The sequence below is a fragment of the Homo sapiens genome, chromosome 12 (assembly GCF_000001405.40).
Source record: "Homo sapiens chromosome 12, GRCh38.p14 Primary Assembly".
In the NCBI taxonomy this organism is placed as follows: domain Eukaryota; kingdom Metazoa; phylum Chordata; class Mammalia; order Primates; family Hominidae; genus Homo; species Homo sapiens.
The window spans coordinates 113,244,363-113,264,816 of record NC_000012.12 but is presented as its reverse complement, the minus strand read 5'-3'; the positions used below and the strand labels follow the sequence as shown (position 1 = coordinate 113,264,816).

The 20,454-nt window shown below is 47.6% G+C and overlaps 1 protein-coding gene across 15 annotated transcripts in view, besides 5 other annotated features; it reads right to left on the bottom strand.

Moving 5' to 3' along the window:
- TPCN1 (two pore segment channel 1) overlaps nucleotides 1–20,454 on the bottom strand; it is a 77,122-nt gene that overhangs the window by 33,769 nt on the left and 22,899 nt on the right. For 10 of the 15 annotated variants that reach the window (XR_001748766.3, NM_001143819.3, XM_017019480.3 and 7 more), the window contains one exon: nucleotides 4,325–4,449. Coding sequence is in view for 14 of the 15 variants with exons in the window: in NM_001143819.3 (NP_001137291.1) it covers nucleotides 4,325–4,449 (125 nt within the window). In the remaining variant the exon portion in view is untranslated. Of the gene's footprint in view, nucleotides 1–4,324; nucleotides 4,450–4,550; nucleotides 4,838–18,753; nucleotides 20,450–20,454 lie in introns of those variants that run through there. The other 5 variants (XM_047429015.1, NM_001351347.1, XM_047429013.1 and 2 more) reach the window with 5 other exon arrangements.
- Nucleotides 2,692–2,871: an enhancer, noted in NCBI's record as "active region_7073". NCBI's record gives its function as "activates an Ori minimal core promoter by ATAC-STARR-seq in GM12878 lymphoblastoid cells {active_cell/tissue: GM12878}" and the evidence as "EXISTENCE:reporter gene assay evidence [ECO:0000049][PMID:35858748]".
- Nucleotides 7,877–8,046: an enhancer, noted in NCBI's record as "experimental_24607 CRE fragment used in MPRA reporter constructs". NCBI's record gives its function as "activates a minimal promoter by MPRAs in K562 erythroleukemia cells, with activity observed for both the introgressed and non-introgressed 12:113694661 variant alleles {active_cell/tissue: K562}" and the evidence as "EXISTENCE:reporter gene assay evidence [ECO:0000049][PMID:34662402]".
- Nucleotides 12,711–13,211: an enhancer, noted in NCBI's record as "H3K4me1 hESC enhancer chr12:113689411-113689911 (GRCh37/hg19 assembly coordinates)". NCBI's record gives its function as "activates a minimal SCP1, AML or CMV promoter by ChIP-STARR-seq in naive H9 embryonic stem cells {active_cell/tissue: H9 hESC(naive)}" and the evidence as "EXISTENCE:reporter gene assay evidence [ECO:0000049][PMID:30033119]".
- Nucleotides 17,646–18,309: an enhancer, noted in NCBI's record as "H3K27ac-H3K4me1 hESC enhancer chr12:113684313-113684976 (GRCh37/hg19 assembly coordinates)". NCBI's record gives its function as "activates a minimal SCP1, AML or CMV promoter by ChIP-STARR-seq in naive and primed H9 embryonic stem cells {active_cell/tissue: H9 hESC(naive and primed)}" and the evidence as "EXISTENCE:reporter gene assay evidence [ECO:0000049][PMID:30033119]".
- Nucleotides 18,310–18,973: an enhancer, noted in NCBI's record as "OCT4-NANOG-H3K27ac-H3K4me1 hESC enhancer chr12:113683649-113684312 (GRCh37/hg19 assembly coordinates)". NCBI's record gives its function as "activates a minimal SCP1, AML or CMV promoter by ChIP-STARR-seq in naive H9 embryonic stem cells {active_cell/tissue: H9 hESC(naive)}" and the evidence as "EXISTENCE:reporter gene assay evidence [ECO:0000049][PMID:30033119]".

Sequence of the window (20,454 nt, the reverse complement as noted above, 5' to 3'; positions counted from 1 at the left end):
TACTATACATTTACTTAATTCAGGATTCCCCATACCCTACTTTGTTTTAATTGACAAATAATAATTGTATATGGGGTACAATGTGATATTTTGATATATTTATATGTTATGTAACAACTTTTTTTTTTCTTTTTTTTTGAGACAGAGTCTTGCTCTGTCACCCAGGCTGGAGTGCAGTGGTGCAATCTTGGCTCACTGCAACCTCCGCCTCCTGGGTTCAAGCAATTCTCTTGCCTCAGCCTCCCGGGTAGCTGGAATGACAGGCGTGCACCACCACACCTGGCTAATTTTTGTATTTTTAGTAGAGATGGTGTTTCACCATGTTGCCCAGGCTGGTCTCGAACTCCTGAGCTCAAGTGATCTGCCCACCTCAGCCTCCCAAAGTGCTGGGATTACAGGTGTGAGCCACCATGCTCGGCCCATTCTCACAAACTTATTCTGGGAAAGGCCCTGCCTGCAGTTTGCAGAGTGACTGTGAGTGAGTCACTTCCCTGAAGCTGGATAAACTGCTCGCCCCATTAGCAAAAAATCGAGACAAACCACAGACCCAGCAGCAAACCCGGCAGGGGCAGGCATGTCAAAGGGAGCAAACACCTTGGCAGTCAACAGAAGGTAAGTTGAACACAGTTCTGTGCTCTGTGCAGGGCTGTGGTTTTCACTACCACCTCCATGACCACAGCAGTGGGCAGGGGGCCACACACAGTGGCCTGGGGAGCTTCTGGTTTCAATAACCAAAAAAAAAAATGTATTTCTTGGGCAATTTCTTCCAACAAATAACCAGGAATGAAGGTCTCGCTAGAAGAACCACTGACATGGGGCTCAGATTTTAACTCTAGGACTTGGAGTTGTCCCAGAAGAGATGGGGGTAATGAGGTCTCCACCAACAGATGGAAATATCACCCATGGCACTGGATTCTGATGAAAACCCCAGAGAATATCGGCCCTGTTTCCTGGCTGATCATAAACTAGATTTGGAAAAATAAGGAAGGCCAGTTGTAGCGATTTCTAGGCCTTTGCTCTCCGCTCCCTGGGGTCCAAGTCCACACAGAAATGAGTACTGTTTCAAAGGCGTCAGGACTGCTGAGCACGTGGCTCCAGAGGATGAGTGAGTTAACAGGTAAAATGTGGGAAGAGGGGAAACTGCAGGCACCAGACACCCTCAAAGCAGCGAGGGCCAATTATCCATGCACACCAGCAACCTGGCTCACTGCAGGACCCGCAGCTTGGCTGCAAGCGTGAAAAGGCAGGCCATCTTGAGCCGGGCACAGAGGCTCATGCCTGTAATCCCAGCACTTTGGGAGGCTTAAGCAGGTGGATCACTTGAGGTCATAAATTTGAGACCAACCTGACCAACATGGTGAAACCCCATCTCTACTAAAAATACAAAAATTAGCCTGGTGTGGCGGCAGGTGCCTGTAATTCCAGCTACCTGGGTGGCTGAGGCAGGAGAATCACCTGAACCTGGGAGGAGGTTGCAGCGAGCCAAGGTCGCACCACTATACTCCAGCCCGGGCAACGGAGTGAGAGTCTGTCTCAAGAAAAACAGGCCATCTCATCCTCTAGAAACAGCCGTGAATGACTGTGAAATCCAAGTTTTTCTTTAATTTTTTTAAAAATAATGCATTTTTGGTAAAATAATTTAAACAATATAAATTTGTAAGGTAGTAAAAATTCCATCAGCCAGAGATAATCACCTTTAATATTTAAACAATTTTTGAGATATGTATGGATATCTGTACACATACATACCCACATGCACATGCTGCTGTATGACATCAATTTAAAATGATCATACAACACCAGCTGTTCCATAACTGCTTTTTCCCACAAGTACATGGCCCATTTTCAAGGAGATGCACAAGGTCAGTTCATAAGTGATGCAATAGCACACAGAATAAAAAACATCATCTGGAGGCTAAACAGTTTAAATGTGGAGCTCTGCAACTCCCTAGCTGGGTGGCCTTGGGCATCATTTGGCCCCTCTGAGTCTCAGTTGCCACATCTGTAAAGTGGGAGATGATCACTACAGCCTCAGAGGCTTGTTACAAAGATTAGCAGGTGCCCCCTTAAAGTTCCTATGTTCATTACCAATGTCCTCACCTGCTTAGGAAAGGAAGGAATGATCAGGATCCTTAGGGCTTCAACCATTCTGAGTCTGTGTTCTGACCTATCCCACGCTCTTATCCGGCCTCAGAGAAGGTGATGTGCATAAGATGTCCCTGCTAGATCATTAACAAGTATGCCTGCGCTTGGGACAATTTCCCTAAAACATTCTGTTGCCTTAATTTGAAACAAAACATGATCATTTAGGTGTATATGATGCTGCATGAACATATGAGAAACAGATGATTGAACAACCATCAAACAAATGTCTAAATTTCATTAAATCTTTTTTTTTTTTTTTTTTTAGACAGGGTCTCATTTTGTCACCCAGGCTGAAGTGCAGTGACACAAACACGGCTCACTGGAGCCTCAACTTCCCAGACTCAGGCGATCCCTTCACCTCAGTCTCACAAGTGGCTAGAACTAGAGGGTACACATGCTACGCCTGGCTAATTTTTGTATTTTTACCAGAGATGGGTTCTGCCATGTTGCCCAGGCTTGAATTTCACTAAATCCTTTTTAAATGACAAAACAAATACTTGCAGTGGAGAGCTGCTTCACATAAGAAAGATTAGGGAAAATTATGATTCGAATGCATTTAAGAAAAAGTCTATTTCCTCATCCAAGCTCTTACTCAATGCAAACCAGAAACTGAAATCTGATAGTGACAAGATTGGCAAGATTAAGGTTAAAATGTCACCGCCAGTGGGGCCCTCAGTAAAGAGGAAATACTTCCTGTGCAGAGGATTCCATGCTGAAACATCAAGGCCCTAAAAATTGTTGATTCCTTCTACCCGGTAATTCCATTTCTTAGAATTTCCATTTCTTTTACTTTCCTAGTAAAATAATCCTAGATGTAAGGGGGTGGGGGGTGCTACGTATAGATTGTCCTTGGACTATAATTTACAATAAGGGAAAATATTCAAGATTATCAGGTTAAGTAAATTAGAATAATTTACCTGATATAATTTAAAGCTATTTAAATAGCCAGGTGTGGTGGCTCATGCCTGTAACCCCAGCACTTTGGGAGGCTGAGGTCGGCGGATCACCTGAGGTCAAGAGTTTGAGATCAGCCTGGCCAACATGGCGAAACCCCATCTCTACTAAAAATACAAAAATTAGCCGGGCATGGTGGCACGTGCCTGTGGTCCCAGCTACTCCGGAGGCTGAGGCAGGAAAATCGCTTGAACCCGGGAGGCAGAGGTTGCACTGAGCCGAGATCAAGCCACTGCAATTCAACTCCAGCCTGGGTGATGGAGTGAGACTGTCTCCAAAAAAAGAAAAAAAAAAAAAAAAAAAAAGCTTATGCTATGAAAAAAAAAAGCAGACTATAAAATTGCACATACCATATGACTTTTTTGGAAAACAGATATATTATTCTTATAATACATTTTTTTTAAACCTGGAAGGAAATAATGTTGACAGTGACTGCCTTAGGTGAATGTTTCTTCATTCCTCTTTGTATCTAAATTTATTGTAATAAGCATGTATTACTTTCACACAAAAATACAAAATTTTTTGTTTGTTTTGGAGACAGAGTCTTGCATTGTCACCCAGGCTGAAGTGCAGTGGTGCGATCTCGGCTCACTGCAACCTCCATCTCATGCGATTCTCCTGTCTCAGCCTCCCGAGTAGCTGGGATTACAGGCGCCCACCAACGCCCAGCTAATTTTTTGTATTTTTAGTAGAGACAGGGTTTCACTATGTTGGCCAGGCTGATCTCGAACTCCTGATCTCAAGTGATCTGCAGGCCTTGGCCTCCCAAAGTGCTGGGATTACAGGCATGAGCGACCATGCCTGGCCAAAAATATATTTTTCAAAAAAAAAAAAATTCCTAAAATAGCAAACAGGAAAGCAGCAACAAGTTAAACAGGAATAAAGCTACCGCATTCAGTATGTAAAGAATTCCCTCCTGAGAACGTGGCCTCTCAGTGTGCCCTGAGAAGAGGGAGGGTGGCAGGGAAGGCCGAGTGGCCAGACTCCGGAAATTGTGGGGGTTGGCACAGCCCTAAACAGGGGTCTGAAGACAAGCTGGTGCACAGCAGTTTTCCCCTATGAGCACAGTCAGGTCAGCCCATCTTATGAACCTGAAGCTCACACACGAGCAGCAGCAGCATGAACTGATGCTGGAACTGAATTTCTGGGCACCTAACAGAGTCTTGGCTGCCCCACCCCACCAACAGGTGCAGACAACTGCCAGGGCCTGACTGGAGATACTCACCTGGAGGTAGATTGCTGCCTCTTGGTAATTCATCTCCCAGTTGTGTGCGGGGCTGGAGGGGGAACTCTCACCCCCAGAGCTGAGACTGGGGGCCTGGGAGTCGTGGATGGCATAGCTGCCGCCATCTGCATTGGAAGAGGAGAGAGATTCACTTGGCACCCAGGCTTAAGAGCAAAAAGACACCGTTTGGCAGAAGAAAAGCCTGGCAGTCCCTTCATATGCTCACATGGACATCCCGTCATCTTCAAATCAACCTCCATGCTGTGTACTGATAATGGCAAGAATTAGCACAGCTGGTTACAAATGTTTTCCTTTCTCTTGATAAGTGAAAAAAGCAAGTACAAAAGAGTACAAATAGTATGCTCTCTAATGTGTACAAAAGGGAGGAAACAAGAAAACATAAATACATCGACTTATCTTTACCAAAAGAAACACAGGAAGGAAAAATGAGAAGTCAATGAAATCAGTCGCCCTACAAGGGCTATAAGGAATAGGGTAGACAGACCCTTTTTGAATCCTTTGACTTTTGGAAGCATATTAATATCCTACTTAGTTAAAAATTAAAAACAACTGGATTTGTCCCCTGGTGCAGGGCCATCTGTTGCTCTTCCCTGCTGACAGCCACGCCCTCCTCTCCCAGCAACACTGGGCCATCTGTCTCTGTAGAACATCCCCTCCTTGCTCTCTGTCCACATTGTTTGGCTCTGGCCAACTCCACCCCTGGTTCCCAGGCAGGTGACCTGGGCCTGGCAATAAGCCCCTCATCTCCCTTGGGCATTCAGGCATAGCTGCTGACCCAAGTCCAGCCAGTGACAGCTGAACTTGAAACTGTTCCCAGGCCAATTAGGAAGGAGGGGCTCTTTCCCTGTTGTTGCTGGCGGCTGCCTCTGCCACCACATGGGGAAAACTTGCCTGAGAAGGAAGTCAGCAGACAACAAAACAATAACCAATAGATAACACTAACACCAGCTGCACCTCTGGAATCCAGCTGTGCCTGAAATCTACCCCTTAATTTCCAAAATCCAAGCTGATAAACAGATCCCATTGAGTCTGAGTTGGGTTTGTCACAATAATCCTGAAATTCAGTAGTTTACACACAGTAAACAACGGCACCAAGAAATGACGCATTCATTGGGAAGAAGTGAATCTGAGAGAAATCTGTAAATCTGCATTGTAAATGATCCACCCGAAGGAAGATAAAGAATCTAATGTTTTGGGCTGAGCACGGTGGCTCACGCCTGTAATCCCAGCACTTTGGGAGGCCAAGGTGGACGGATCACCTGAGATCAGGAGTTCAAGACCAGCATGGCCAACATGACAAAACCTCAACTCTACTAAAAATACAAAAAGTAGCCAGGCGTGGTGGAAGGTGCCTGTAATCCCAGCTACTCAGGAGGCTGAGGCATGAGAATCACTTGAACCTGGGAGGCGGAGGTTGCAGTGAGCCAAAATCGCATCACTACTCTAGCCTGGGGGACAGAGCAAGACTCCGTCTCAAAAAAAAAAAAAAAAATCTAATGTTTTGATACTGGGATTTGCACAGTTGGCAGAAAGCAAATGTGTAAGGCTTACAACCATGCAAGGGACAGGAGACTGACAGGGCTCAAAGGCCTGCTGGGTTGCAAAAGGTCCTTCTGATCTTGAATTGCCAGTCATGAGCAATGAGGTCCAGCCACATGCAACTTACTTCCCCAGCTCCCTGCTTTTTTTAAGACACAAGATCTCACTCTGTCACCCAGAATGGAGTACAGCGGCACAAGCATGGCTCATTGCAGTCTTAAACTCTTGAGTTCAAGAGATCCTCCTACTTCAGCCTCCTGAGCAGCTAGGACTACAGGCATGCACCATCACGCCTGGCTAATTTTTGTATTTTTATAGAGGTGGAGTCTCCCTTTGTTGCCCAGGCTGGTCTCGAACTCCTGGAATCAAGCAATTCTTCTGCCTTGGCCTCCCAAAGTGTTGAGATTACAGGTGTGGGCCACTGTGCCCAGCCACTCCACCCTTGTTTTTTCTTTCTTCCTTTTTTTGAGATGGAGTCTCACTCTGTCACCCAGGCTGGAATGCAATGGCGTGATCTCAGCTCACTGTAACCTCTGCTTCCGAGGTTCAAGTGATTCTCCCACCTCAGCCTCCCGAGCAGCTGGGATTACAGGTGCCTAACACCATGCCCAGCTAATTTTTGTATTTTTAGTAGAGACAGGGTTTAGCATGTTGGCCAGGTTGGTCTTAAACTCCTGACCTCAAGTGATCCACCCGCCTGGGCCTCCCAAAGTTCTGGGATTATAGATGTGAGCCATCGTGCCTGGCCAACCCTACCCATTTTTAAAAACAGTTTCGCTAAGTTGTGCCACAATAAACAGTATATATTTTAAGAATACAGTTTGATACATTTTGACCTACGTGCATATCTGTAAAATCATCACAACAATCAAGATAACATATCCATAACCCTCCCGTGCCTCCTTGCCCATCCATGCCCAGGCAACCACTGAGCTGCATTCTGTTACTATTAGATGAATCTGCATCTATTATTACATATAATATATATATTTACATGATGTATTATATAAATGGAATAATACAGTATGTAGTCTTTTTTTTTGCTTGGATTCTTTCACTCAGAATAATTATTTAAAAACTCATCCACATTGCACTGTGTACCAACAGTTCATTCTGTTTCTTTGCTGAGTAATAAATATACCACAGTTTATCCATTCACCTGTTGATGAACAGCTAAGATTGTTTCTAGTTTTGGGTTATTTCAAAGTTGCTATGAACATTCATTCAGGGCTTTGTGTGGATGTACACTTTTTGTTTCTTTTGGTAAAGCTAGAGGTGAAATAGCTAGATCACATGTTTAACTTTTTACAAAACTGCCAAACTGTTTTCCAAAATGATTGTACCATTTTACATTCTCACTAGCAGTATATGAGAGTTCCAGTTCCTCCACATCTCCACCAACTGTTGATATGCTCGCTCTTTTTAAGCATTTTTTTTTTTTTTTGAGACGGTCTCACTCTGTCGCCCAGGCTGGAGTGCAGTGGTGCCATCTCAGCTCACTAAAACCTCCACTTCCTGGGTTCAAGTGATCCTCCTGCCTCAGCCTCCTGAGTAGCTGGGATTACAGGCACGCACCACCATGCCTGGCTAATTTTTAAATATTTTTAGTAGAGACGTTTCACCATGTTGGCCAGGCTGGCCTTGAATTCCGAACCTCAGGTGATCTGCCCGCCTCGGCCTCCCAAAGTGTTGGGATCACAGGCATGGGCTGCTGCGCCTGGCCAACTTTAAGCATTTCAAAAGATGGGTAGTGGTATATCATTGTTTTTCATGTTCATGCTTGAAATTTGCATTTTCCTAACAATAATGTTGCACAACTTTCCATATGTTTATTTACCATCTATCTTCTTTGAAGTGTCCAGATCTTTCACCTTTTTCTTTTTTTTTATTATTAAATTGAGAGCTCTTTTATACACTCTGGATACAAGTCTATCAGATACATGATGATTTGCAAATATTTTCCCATTTGTGGTTTGTCTTCTCATTCTTTTCTAACAGTGCCTTTCAAAGGTCACTAAAACAGAAGTTTTACAAATTTTGATGAAGGCCAACTTATCCATTTATTCTTTTTATGGATTAATACTTTTGATATCATATCTAAGAAATCTTTGCCTAACCCCTGGTCATAAAGATTTCACATCAGGCTAAGGTGGGGAGGATCACTTGAGCCCAAGAGTTCAAGATTAACCTGGGCAACGCAGTGAGATCTTGTCTCTACAAAAAAATTAAAATAAAAAAGATTCCACATCAAGGCACAGTGGTGTAAGCCTGTAGTCCCAGTGCCTAGGAGGCTGAGGTGAGAGGATCACCTTAGCCCAGTAGTTCAAGCCAGCCTGGACAACACAGAAAGACACTGTCTTTAAAAAAGAAAAATAAAAACAAAGATTTCACATCAATACCTCGATGTCTTGGTTACTGAGGCTTTATAAGTCTTAAAATCAGGCAGTGTTAATCCTCCAACTTTGTTCATATTTTTTTCAAAGTTGTTTTGGCTAGCCCAGTTCTTCTGAACTTCCATATAAACTTTAGAATTAGTCAATTTCTTTGTCCCTAATCCAGGAGTCCAAATAAATAAATACATACATACATGCATACCCAGCCTGGGGAATATAGTGAGACCCTACCTCTACAAAAAAAAAAAATTTAAAAAGTAAAAAAATTTGAACTTCCATATGAACTTTAGAATTAGTCAATTTCTTTGTCCCTAATCCAAGAGTCCAATCAATCAATCAATCAATAGAAACCTAGCCTGGGGAATATAGTGAGACCCTATCTCTACAAAAAAAAAATTTTTTTTAAGTAAAAAAATTAGGCAAGCACAGTGGCATGTGCCTATAATCCCAGCACTTTGGGAGGCTGAGGTGGATGGATCGCTTCAGGTCAGGAGTTGAAGACCAGTCTGGGTAACATACTATGACCTCATAACAAAAAGTATAAAAAATAGCTGGGCATGGTGGCTTGCACCTGTAGTCCCAGCTACTCAGGAGGCTGAGGTGGGAGGATGGCTTGAGCTTGAGAGGTCAAGGCTAGAGTGAGCTATGATCATAGCTACTGCACTCCAGCCTGGGTGACAGAGCAAGATCCTGTCTCAATAATAATAACAGGCCAGGCACAGTGGCTCATGCCTGTAATCCTAGCACTTAGGGAGGCCAAGGCAGGTGGATCACCTGAGCTTAGGAGTTCGAGACCACCCTGGGCAACATAGTGAAACCCCGCCCGTCTCTACTAAAATACAAAAAATTAGCCGGGCATGGTGGCATGCGCCTGTAGTCCCAGCTACTCAGGAGGCTGAGGCATGAGACTCACTTGAGCCCAGGAGGTGGAGGTTGCGGTGAGCTGAGATTGCGCCACTGCACTCCAGCTTGGCTTACAGACTGAGACTCTGTCTCAAAAAAAAAAAATTAATTAATAATAATAATTAGTCAATTTCTACTTAAAAAAAAAAGTCTGCTGGGATTTGATTGAAATTATGTCAGATCTATTGGGGAGACTCTTAAAAACCCATGAATATGGTATATCTGTCAGTTTATTTTGATCTTTTTAAATTTTCTTAGTAATATTTTACAGCTTTCAGTATACAGACCTGACACATCTTTTCTTAGATTTATCACTAAGTCTTTTATATTTCCGATGCTGTTGCAAATGAAGTTGCCTTTTAATCTCAATTTCCAATTGTTTGTTGTTAGGATACAGAAATACAGCTGATTTTTATATGTTGGCCTTCTAGCCTGCAACCTTGATAAACTCACTTAAAAGGTCTAGTGGCCTCTTTTGTAAATATGTCATGGGCGTTTCTATACAGAAGATCATGTTGTCTGAGAATAAGGACAGTTTTATTTCTTCCTTTCTAATCCAGATGCCTTTCGTTTTTCTTGCCTTATGGCACTGTTTAGAAGCTCCCTTACAATACTGAATAAAAATGATGAGAAGGGATATCTTTGTCTCATTCCTGATCTTAGGGGAAAAGCATTCAGTTTTTCACCACTCAGTATGATGTAAGCTAGAAGTTTCTCGTAGATATCCTTTATCAGTCTGAGGAAATTCCTTTCTGTGCCTAGTTTGTTGTGAGATCTTACCATGAATGGGTGTTGCATTTTGTCAAACACTTTCTGTGTCTACTTCGAGATGATTTCAGCTTGAGAATCCCTAATCCGAAAATCTGAAATCCAAATGCTCCAAAATTCCAAACTTTTTGAGCACCAACATGACACTCAAAGAAAACGTTCACTGGAGCATTCTGGATATTCAGGTTAGAAATACTCAACCAGTAAGTATAACGCAAATACTCCAAAATCTGAAAAAAATTAAAAATCGGAAATACTTCTGGACCCAAGCATTTTGGATAAGGGATATTCAACCTGTATATGGTTTTTCTTTTTCCTTTGGTTAATATAGTGAATTACAATGATTGATTTTTGAACATTAAACCAACCCTGCATTCCTGAGCTAAGTCCCCCTAGTCATGATGTATTATCCTTTTTATATATTATTGCATTTGCAAAATTGTTTAAATTTTTTGCATCTACATCCGTGTAGAATGTTGGTCCGAGGTTTCTTTCCTTGTGAGGTCTTTGCTGGTTTGGGTATCAAGGTAATGCTGGCCTCATAAAATGGGCTAGAAAATATTTCCTCCTTTTCAATTTTCTGGAAGAATTTGTGTCAAATTGGTATTATTTCTTCCCTAATGTATACCGTTCACCAGGAAAGCTATCTGGGCCTGAAGTTTTCTTTCTGGGAAAGTTTTTATTACATATTAACCTTCTTCAGTACATATAGGGCCACTCAGGTTTTCTATTCTTATTGAGAAAGCTTTGGTGGTTTGTTTATCTTTCAAGAAATTTGCCAAGAGGCTAAACAATCTGTCCAAGATCACACAGCTATAAGGGCTGAGCCAGGCTTTGGCCCCTAGCAGCTTGCCACCAGAGCAGATGCACTTAACCACTGCACTATACTACCATCTCTCTAAGGAAGAGGAGTCGGGGATGAGGAATGCAGATGATGATTTTAAACTACTGGTAGCAAACATTTGTTGAGGTTTACTGTATGCCAAAACCTATCCTGCGGCAGATTTTATTTTCCATAAATGGCCACCGCATTATCTTTCACCTTCCATGCTCTTCTGGAACCTTGCTGCTTCTCCACACACAGGTAGAAGCTGTGTTTCTTCCTCTTGAAATCAGGTGAGCCTTTATGACTGCTGTGACTAACAGAGAACAGGGAACCTCATGACTTCTGAGGTTATAAAAATACTTTCACCTTATTCTCTTGGGGCACTTACTTGTGGAACCGAGCAACCATTTTGTAAGGAAGCCCAAGCAGCTGGTGCAGACAGAAGACTCAAGGCTCCAGTTCACAGCCCAGCTGAGCACCCAGCCAAGGGGTAGCACCAACTTCTCTGCCACATCAAGGAGCCATCTCAAAAATAGATCCTCCAGCCCCAGTTAAGCTGTCCAAACAGATGTTACGTACAACAGCAAAAAGACAACTCCACCAAGCCCTGCTCAAACTGCAAACTCAAGCAAAATAAATGTTGCTATCTTAAGGCACTATGTTGGGGCAGTGATTTGATACAAGGGCAACAGATAACTGACACCTATCTAAATACATTGTATCTATTAACCTACTTAGTTCTTACAACAATCCTGCCAAGTAGGTAATATTATTATCAACAGATAACTGATACCTATCTAAATACATTGTATCTATCTGTTAACCCACTTAGTTCTTACAACAGCCCTCCCAAGTAGGTAATATTACTATTCCCACCTCAGACTTGAGGAAACTAAGGTGCAGAGAAGCTAAGTAACCTCCCCGGGTCATGCTCCTAGTGAGAAGAGGGGCTGGGATCCCAAACTAGGCTGCCTAGCTCCCAATCGGTAGACTACTTGCCTCTCAAGAATCAGAAACTCCAAAAGCGTGACAGGGTAGTTAGTGCCAAAAGGACCAAAAATACACTAGCATTTCCATCACTACAGTGGAGTTGCAAGTAGGAGGTGGGACATCTGGGTGCGGTTTGAACTTGGTAATTCTGACCCTTCTCTTCCCAATAGCAACAGAGTAGCATTCCCTACCCTGATCCCAATGCTCATTTCTGAAAGAACTAAGCCCTAGGCAGAGACAGAAGAAGGTCAAACCACCGTCCTCAATCTGCTCATGTGGATCAGGGAAGCCTGAGCCAAAACGTGACTCCTGAGCAGAAAAAGCCACAGGCAAGCAGCTGGATGGAGCTGCGTCCTCGTGAGCCCATGCCCTGTCCTCCACGACCTCCACATGCCCCAGCAGGGGCTGGCACCGGCAACACAGAAGAGTCCTAGGTAACATAAATAACAATGATGGAGCGGAGCAGGCAGCTGCTAGCTGGCACAGATGGCAGCAGCCATTAGTGCCACCCTCCCACTTGACACTAGACACGAGTGTCTATGTGAGCGGCTGCCGTGAAGACCCCCTTTGGAGCCTTCCTGCCCTTCTTCTCACACAGGGGTCTCCTCGAATTGACAGGAGCTTCCTCCTTGTGCTCAGGAGGCTCTCTCAGCCCGTTCCTGGTGGGGAGACAACGTCTGGTCCTCCTCAAAAGCTCCCCTATCCCTTACCACTTATACCGCAGCATCCCTGGGACCAGGTGGCCCGACGCGTCCCACGGTGCAGGCCATTCCTTGCTAACAAGCCTCAATGACACTCCCAGCAACAGGTTTCTCCTGGGAGCAGGTAACCTTTGCTAATCTTTAGGTGTCCTGGTTTGGGTGAGAGATAGTCCCTCTTCCCCGATACATAACCCTTCAAAGCCACAAAGGACAGTTCCATTCAACTGAAATCCACAAGGACCACTGAGACAGGAAGGACCAAGCTTCTGGCTGCCCTGGGAGGACAGTCCTCAGAGCCAGAAATCTTAACCCGATCTTCTTTTTCACTCCTCATGGCCTGTAACTCACCAGGTCTGGAAAGGTCTCGTCCCTCTCATCTCTACTGAAGAGGTCTTTGGGGCCTCTTGTCTTTCACCTAAAAGCCTGCAGCAACCTGGACTCACTCTCACTGTCCAGGCCTTTCCTGACCACCTGACCCAGACGCCTTGAGGCAGGATGAATCAATCGGGTAAGGCCGAAGTCTCACGGTGTCACTCCACTACTTAAAATCCTTCCATGGCTTGCCTGCAGAAAAAGACTGACTCCTTGGAACAATGGGAGAGGATCTTTAGAGCTGGCTGCTGCTACATCCCTCTCCCTTTTCCCTATTCCTGTACCAAACTCCTAACAGGCAGGAGGGCTGTGGCCTGGGCCTCACGGGCTGGCCGCCGAAGGCAACAGGTGACCATGGAGCACCAAGGATGCAGGGAGCTGGCTGGAGCCCCCCCACGGGACAGCGAGCAACACAGAGACAAAACATGCGCCCCGTGGCCACAGACCACACATGGCTGGTGGGTGAGGGCAGACACGTAGCAGTGTTGCCAATGGTGGAACGAGGACTCGGGAATGGACTTCACAGGGTGTTTCTGCTAGATCTGAAAGGGCTTTGTAATAACTAGAAATGAGGGACCGGCACAGAGGGCTTTAGTTTTAGAGACAGGGTCTCACTATGTTGCCCAAGCTAGACTCAAATTCCTGGACTCAGGCGATCCTCTCCCCTTGGCCTCCATTTGGAAATAATTCTTTTTATTGAGCCCAGGCTGTAGTGCAGTGGCACTATCATGGCTCACTGCAGCCTCAACCTCTTAGGCTCAAGCCATCCTCCCACCTAAGCCTCCAGAGTAGCTGGGACTATAGGCATGTGCCACCATGCCCAGCTAATTTTTTTTTTTTGTAGAGATGGGGTCTTGCCATGTTGATCAGGGTGGTCTCAAACTCCTAGGCTCAAGCAATCCACCTGCCTCGCCCTCCCAGAGTTCTAGGATTACAGGTGTGAGCCACTGCACCTGGCCGGAAAGAATTCTTCTATTTTTATTTTTTAATTTTTATGTATTTTTTCTTTTTTTTTTGAGACAGAGTTGCTCTGTCGCCCAGGCTGGAGTACAGCAGTGCAATCTCATCTCACTACAACCTCTACTTCTCAGGTTCAAGCAATTCTTGTGCTTCAGCCTCCTGAGTAGCTGGGCATGCACCAACACACAGGCGTGCACCAACACACCCGGCTAATTTTTGTATTTTTTGGAAGAGACGGGGTTTTACCATGTTGGCCAGGCTGGTCTCAAACTCCTGACCTCAAGTGATCCAACTGCCTTGGCCTCCCAAAGTGCTGGGATTACAGGCGTGAGCCACTGCGCCTGGCCGGGAAATAATTCTTAATGAAAATATTCTAAGACCAACAACTGGCCTGTTCATCTACTCCTTTGTTTAGCAGACATTCCCAGGGTTGTCCCTGCCCAAGGTCAGCTCCTAGGTGCTGGGCCCTTAGTGGGGACTGTAGGAACTAGGCAGCCCTTGCCCTCCAGGGGCACCTGTCCACAGAGGCAGTGAGTACCCCATCACCACGTGGCCTCAAAAAGAGGCTCCACAGCTATTGGTTATGGACATTTCAATAGAGAAGAGGTTCACCAGCCAGTGAGCAGCTGAACTAGCTGCCCCTGCAACTTGTGGCATCTACATGTTTACAGGTATATGGTGACTTCAAGGGGAGCAGGCAGGTGGGTGCAGATGGCTTCAGAAGCAGCTCCAAACTGCAGAGCTGCCCCAGAGAGCTGGCAGTGCCACAATCTGAGCAGGGCCCAGCTGCCTAGATCCTGCTGGCGCCAAAAGCCTTCCACAAACACTTCCTTGCTGCTTAGGGAGGGCAATGGCATCTTTTTTTAGCACACGCGTCCCTCTCCCACCTCCCGATTAACTGCAGCCCCCAAATCTAGCCCCAATCTCAGCAGCTCAGCTTCCGCTAAAATAACACACACAAACACTTGCGGAACAAATTCTGTGAGGCAGGCACTAGTCTCAGCACTTTATAGGTGAAATAACTTCATCCTCGCATCAACCTTAGGAGGTGGATACCATCAGCATCCCCATTTCAGAAGAAGGGTGATGGGACAGAAGCACAGAGATTGGTCAGCTTGTCCGGGGGCTCCCACATTTAGAAAGTGACGGAGCTGGAGAATAAATGAGGTCTGTGCTTGGAACCACTCTAACTGTGGGCGGTGTCATTCCACATGGTCTGCACAGTCCATTAATGGTGTGCCATGGTCGGGGATGAGAACCATCCAGGAACCAGAGCCAGCGTGTAGAGGCCATCACCGCAGGTGGCACTGTGCGGCACTTCCTTCTCCTAGTACTTCGTTTTTGTTGTGTTTTATGGAAGTAGAGGTCCTCTGCTGCAGAGTATGGGAAGCGCTGCTGCGTAGCTCTCCTGCGTGAATTGTAGGCACTTTCTGCTGTTGTCTTAGAAGCAACGACTGTCAGGTCAGGAGCAGATCCTAGAGACCACCTAATTCATTGCCCAGCTTTTAGAGATGGGGAAACTGAGGGCAGGGAACGTGATGTCCCCATGGTATAGGGCCAATTGGTTACAGCGCCAGGTCTAGCATCCAGGCTTCCTGGCTCCCCATCCAGAGCTTTCCTTCATACAATCATCTGCCACTCACCTCTCACTAGAGAAATGTAGGGGGTGGCTCCGCTGACCCACTGTCTGCCGTGCGGTACGCCGGCCACTGTCTCTTCTGATGGACAGCATACAGCTGTGAAACAGGCTTAGCATCTATGACCCAAATCAAAGAGAACACGTGGCCGGTTCTCGCACAGACGGTCCCTCCATTGGCCAGGGCTCTTGGGATGCACTCTTATGGGCCACAAGTGACTGGGGGCAGGAGAAGGCCCTGGGGTGACTGAGACCACATTTTCCTGGCCATACCGGTGCTGAATGGAACAGCTGCACCAACAGAGAATCTTGGGGCAGGAGGGGCCTCAGGAATCAGGAGGCTCCTCCTCTCCCACAATCAGCTGAAAGGCCCACAAATAGGTGCTGCACCTGGCCCACAAGACCTCGCTCTCACCAGCTCCCCTGCCACACTGTGGCCCAAAACAGCTCTCCCCTAGACTAGCACAATCCCTTCTCTGTCTTCCTACTGTCTGTTCTTCCCTCTGTGGCCTATTCTTGACACCAGTCAGAGAAATCCTCTATCGTGTGTGTGCGTGTGTGTGTTTTTAGGTAACTTTTTTGTTTAATATAACAAAAATCCTAAAGAACACTAAGCCAAATGGTATCACTCCTCTGCCCCAAACGTGCCCCAGCCTCCCTTGATCAGAGGGTCTCGTGGAACCTGACCCGCAACCTCTCCAAGTCACCTCGTCCTGCCTGCCCCTCGCTGCCGCCATGCTAACCTCCTTGTTGTTCTGAAACGTGCCTGGAACACTCCGCCTTGGGGCCTCTGCCTCCCCGATCTTTGGCTGCTTTGTCACACCTTCCAGTTTCCACAAACATTTTATCAGAGGCTACCCTTGGCCTCCCCTACAAGGTGAGACCACATCACTCCGTCCCCTCAAAGCGCTGAGGCTTCCTCCTGGGGCTGTCACCACCTGACAGGGTATCTGTTTAATCGTGGGCCTGTTTCCCCGCCTGGAATGTCAGCTCCAAGAGGGCAGGGACTTTTGTTTTGGTCACTGTGGTGTTCCCAGGCCCCAGAACAGCGTTGTACACAATGTGTAAGTGGTCAGCAAACATGTCTGAACTGAAGTGAAATAGAAGGTCTTGCTAGCCCTGAAGATTCCACACACCCCCGTGGGGCACTTAAGGATGGCCAGGGCCTGGAGGGCGGAGAACAAGGAGCCATCCGTGGGGCCTGGCAGGCCTCGGGCAAGAGGGCGGGCTCCACCCGGGGTGCAGTGGGCAGCGCCAAAGGGTGTTAGGAAGGGGTGTGATGTGGTAAGTTTGTATTTGTAAAAACCTTTCTTTTAAGGATCTGCGGAAGAGGGGCTGTTTTGTGTTAAGAGTAATTCAGGGTAGAACCTTGAAAGGGAAAGGGGAGAATAAGACTCAAGAGCTAAGGTGAAAGAACAGCGAATTCTCCCCCTCCCAGGACGGACTTTGTTCTGTGCTTCTAACCACTCAACCTCAGAAAACAGGACTTGGAGTGCTCATGTGGTCCCAAAAGGCAAAGCATGATCGCTCATTTCTCCACACGGAGAGAGGGATGGAAGGCCTGGGGTGACACTGGCCACTCAGGGACTTTTCAAGAAAGCCACAGGTGATCGCAAAGGGCCTCCTTCACATCAAGGCACGAGCAACTGGGCTACATATTTAGGGATTATAGAAAGGGTGCAAATGGAAGGCGAGGAGCCACAGTTCCATTCTGTTCCTTTTGTACGTGGCCTTCACGCAGCAGTGCAGCTGTACCAGCCAAGACGAGGGCACGGCAGGGGCCGGGTGGGGCTGGGCCACCTCGTGGAGTGCTAATCCCCTGCCCTGTCTGCTGTCTAACCCTCTTCCCCACTTAAGAGGTTGCAGAAGTGGCTGAAGGGACAATGGATATGCTCCCACTCCGAGTGCTGCGTTGTTCCCGCAGAAGGTATGCTCGAAGGCTCGGCAGCTTTCTGAGGAGGACATTTCAGGCCCAGAAAGCGGGAAGGCAGGGGGCAGAAGGGGCAGATCAAAGGGGACAGGCTGATAGCCAAGTCCTGGTAAGTCAGGATGTGAGCCTGGTGAGTCAGGGTGTGAGTGCAGATGGAGTGGTTTCTGGGAGAATGAGCCCCTGCTTGCTGGGGAACCAATCCCGGCAGGCCCAGCTTCCTCAAAATGAATACCCTCCACGTGGGAACTAAGAGCATGTGCAGGGGCCCCCAGCTGGCCTGAGTCATCAGCACTGTGTGTGAAGCTAGAGGACACTCTGCCCCACTGAAGCCCATCGTGCCCACTGGGTTCACTCCAGGACCTCTACCTGGGCAGCCTCGAATGCCAACAGTTGTTTACACCCACCTGCTCTAGTGGCCTGGTGCCTTGTTCTGACCTCCTACTGCCCACAGACCCTGGGCAGAACCTCCAGGTCAATGACTGGCACTCGCATCTTTGGAGTACCAGGCACAGAAAGCACAGGAAGCATCCTAGCCAACAAAGTGACCGGGCAGGCTCACCCCGCATCACCCCAGTCCAGCCCCTTCCTCTGTGTGCCGGGGCTGGCCCTCTCCAACTGGTGCTCATTACGGACCACGGAAGAAGCAACACCTTTGGCCTCTGACCTTGGCACTGTTCTTGCCCAGAGCAGAACGGGTTCTTCCAGGCCAGCTGGAAAGGCAGGAACTGGGGCACGTCGCAGGGGCCCAGCTTGAGAAGACAGGACGACCTCACCACGGGGCTGTCAGGAAGCTGGCCCTCCACTGCCTCCTCCAGAAGGCCGGCAGCTAGCCCTTGCCTCTGCATGTTTACCTTTCCTGGGAGGCAACCGGGCCGGACATAGGAGGGAGGGAGATGAGCAGCAGCGTGGGCAGGCGGGCAGGATTTGCAGTCTCCCTGGCTCCCACAGCCAGCAAGCTCCACATGCAGGTTTCAGAAAGGACCAGAGGAGGCTGACCAGGAACACTCTTGGCAACCAGGAAGACTGTATTCTGCATCTCTGTTCTGGGCCTCTGGGGAAAGTTCCACGAAGGGAAACATTTTGTCCTGCCCTTCTGGTGCCCTGGGCAGACAGCTCTCTTGGGAAAACCAGACCAAGAGGACAGGCGCAGCCTTGCAGGCCTGCAGACTTTGGCCACTAAAGATTTATGTGGCACCAGCCCCTTAACCTCCCTCCCTGAATCCTGGCAATCAGCCCGGAGGAGAGAACGTAAAACCACTCAGAGGACGGGAAGGAGTGGAAAGAAACAGCTGAACTGACAGGCATGAGAATACAAAACAACAACGCAAACTCTGACTCGAAGCAGGAGAGACATCCCGGTGCAGAGGACAGGCAGACAAACCAGAATGACCTGTTTGCACACACGGTAACACTCCCACATGCTGATGTCACAGGGCCCAGACGCTCCCTCGAAACAGCTGGCTGCTTTGCACGCCACATCGGAAATGACCCTGCAGGGAATCCAAGGTTTCTGTTTGCTGGAGCACAGCATGCAGCAGCGTCCTGGTGGTGCCAGATAAATAGAAACAGTTTCCATATGCCAGCTATAAAGATGCACTGGGGAGGAGCAGGAAAGAACAGGCAGGAGGGGAAGGCTTCCACGACCCACCCCTCACCCAGCAGGCGCAGGGGGCAGCCCGGCTGCGTAAACCACTGGGGCCTTTCTTTGGTGCCTGGGCCAGAGATCGCTTTGGATAAAAGGGCCCCTCCTGGGAGGGAGCTCTGATCAGAAAAAGCAGAGAATGACTGTTCTCAGGAAGGGTGATACTGAGGGGCCTACCCCTTTTCTTTTCTTTTTTTTTTTTTTTTTTTTTGAGACGGAGTCTTGCTCTGTCGCCCAGGCTGGAGTGCAGTGGCGCGATCTCGGCTCACTGCAAGCTCCGCCTCCCGGGCTCACGCCATTCTCCTGCCTCAGCCTCCCGAGTAGCTGGGACTACAGGCGCCCGCTACCACGCCCGGCTAATTTTTTGTATTTTTTTTTAGTAGAGACGGGGTTTCACCGTGTTAGCCAGGATGGTCTCGATCTCCTGACCTCGTGATCCGCCCGCCTCGGCCTCCCAAAGTGCTGGGATTACAGGCGTGAGCCACCGCGCCCAGCCCCCTTTTCTAACCTCTCTCCTTTTTATTTTCTTTCTTTCTTTTTTTGGAGACAGGGTCTCACTCTGTTGCCCAGGCTGGAGTGCAGTGGTGCGATCATGGCTCACTGCAGCCTTTATCTCCTGGGTTCAAGCAATCCTCCCACCTCAGCCTCCCAAGTAGCTGGGACTACAGGCATGGATTGCCATGCCCTGCTAATTTTTTGTATTTTTTTGTAGAGACAGGGTTTCATCACCATGTTCCCCAGTCTGGTCTTGAACTCCTGGGCTCAAGTCATCCACCCAGCTCAGCCTCTCAAAGTGTTGGGATTACAGGCATGAGCCACTGTGCCCAGCCTCATTCTCATTTTCTTAAACACACACAACCTCACACATTCTCAAATGCACACATACACCCTCGCACATCCTCTGTGAGACGAAACAGAACCCTGGACACCCAAGTTCACTCCAGCTGTGCCTCCTCCACTCCCCACAGTTCACGATCTTAATCCCCAGAGCCTCAGTTTCTTCATCCAGAAACTGGGACCAGTGCCAACCGTGCTCCCAGCATCTCAGAAACAAATGCGAATACTCACAAAGCACTCGGAGCCCTCCGGAAACCAGCGCCTACCAGAATGACAACGAGCAACCGCCCCGCCGCTTGCCAGTTGTCACTGAGAGCCCCACACCATGGGAAAGAGCTCAAAGAGGAGAGGAAAATAAACCAGAGTGACACTGATGAGTTTTCCAGGCACAGCGTTGCCACCATGCTTCTGTGCCGGCTGGCTCTTCAAAGGCCCCCAGATAAAAATCTAGCATGAGATGCTACGCCGAAAGAAAGCAAAATGCACATCCCCCTGCTCAGGCCTTCTCTTTCTGATAATTGGTTGCAAGATGGTATGGAAGGTGGACCCGCATTATTGACACACGTTAGTAAAGGCTCCAAACCCAAGCAGAGCCCTGGGCAAATGTACCAA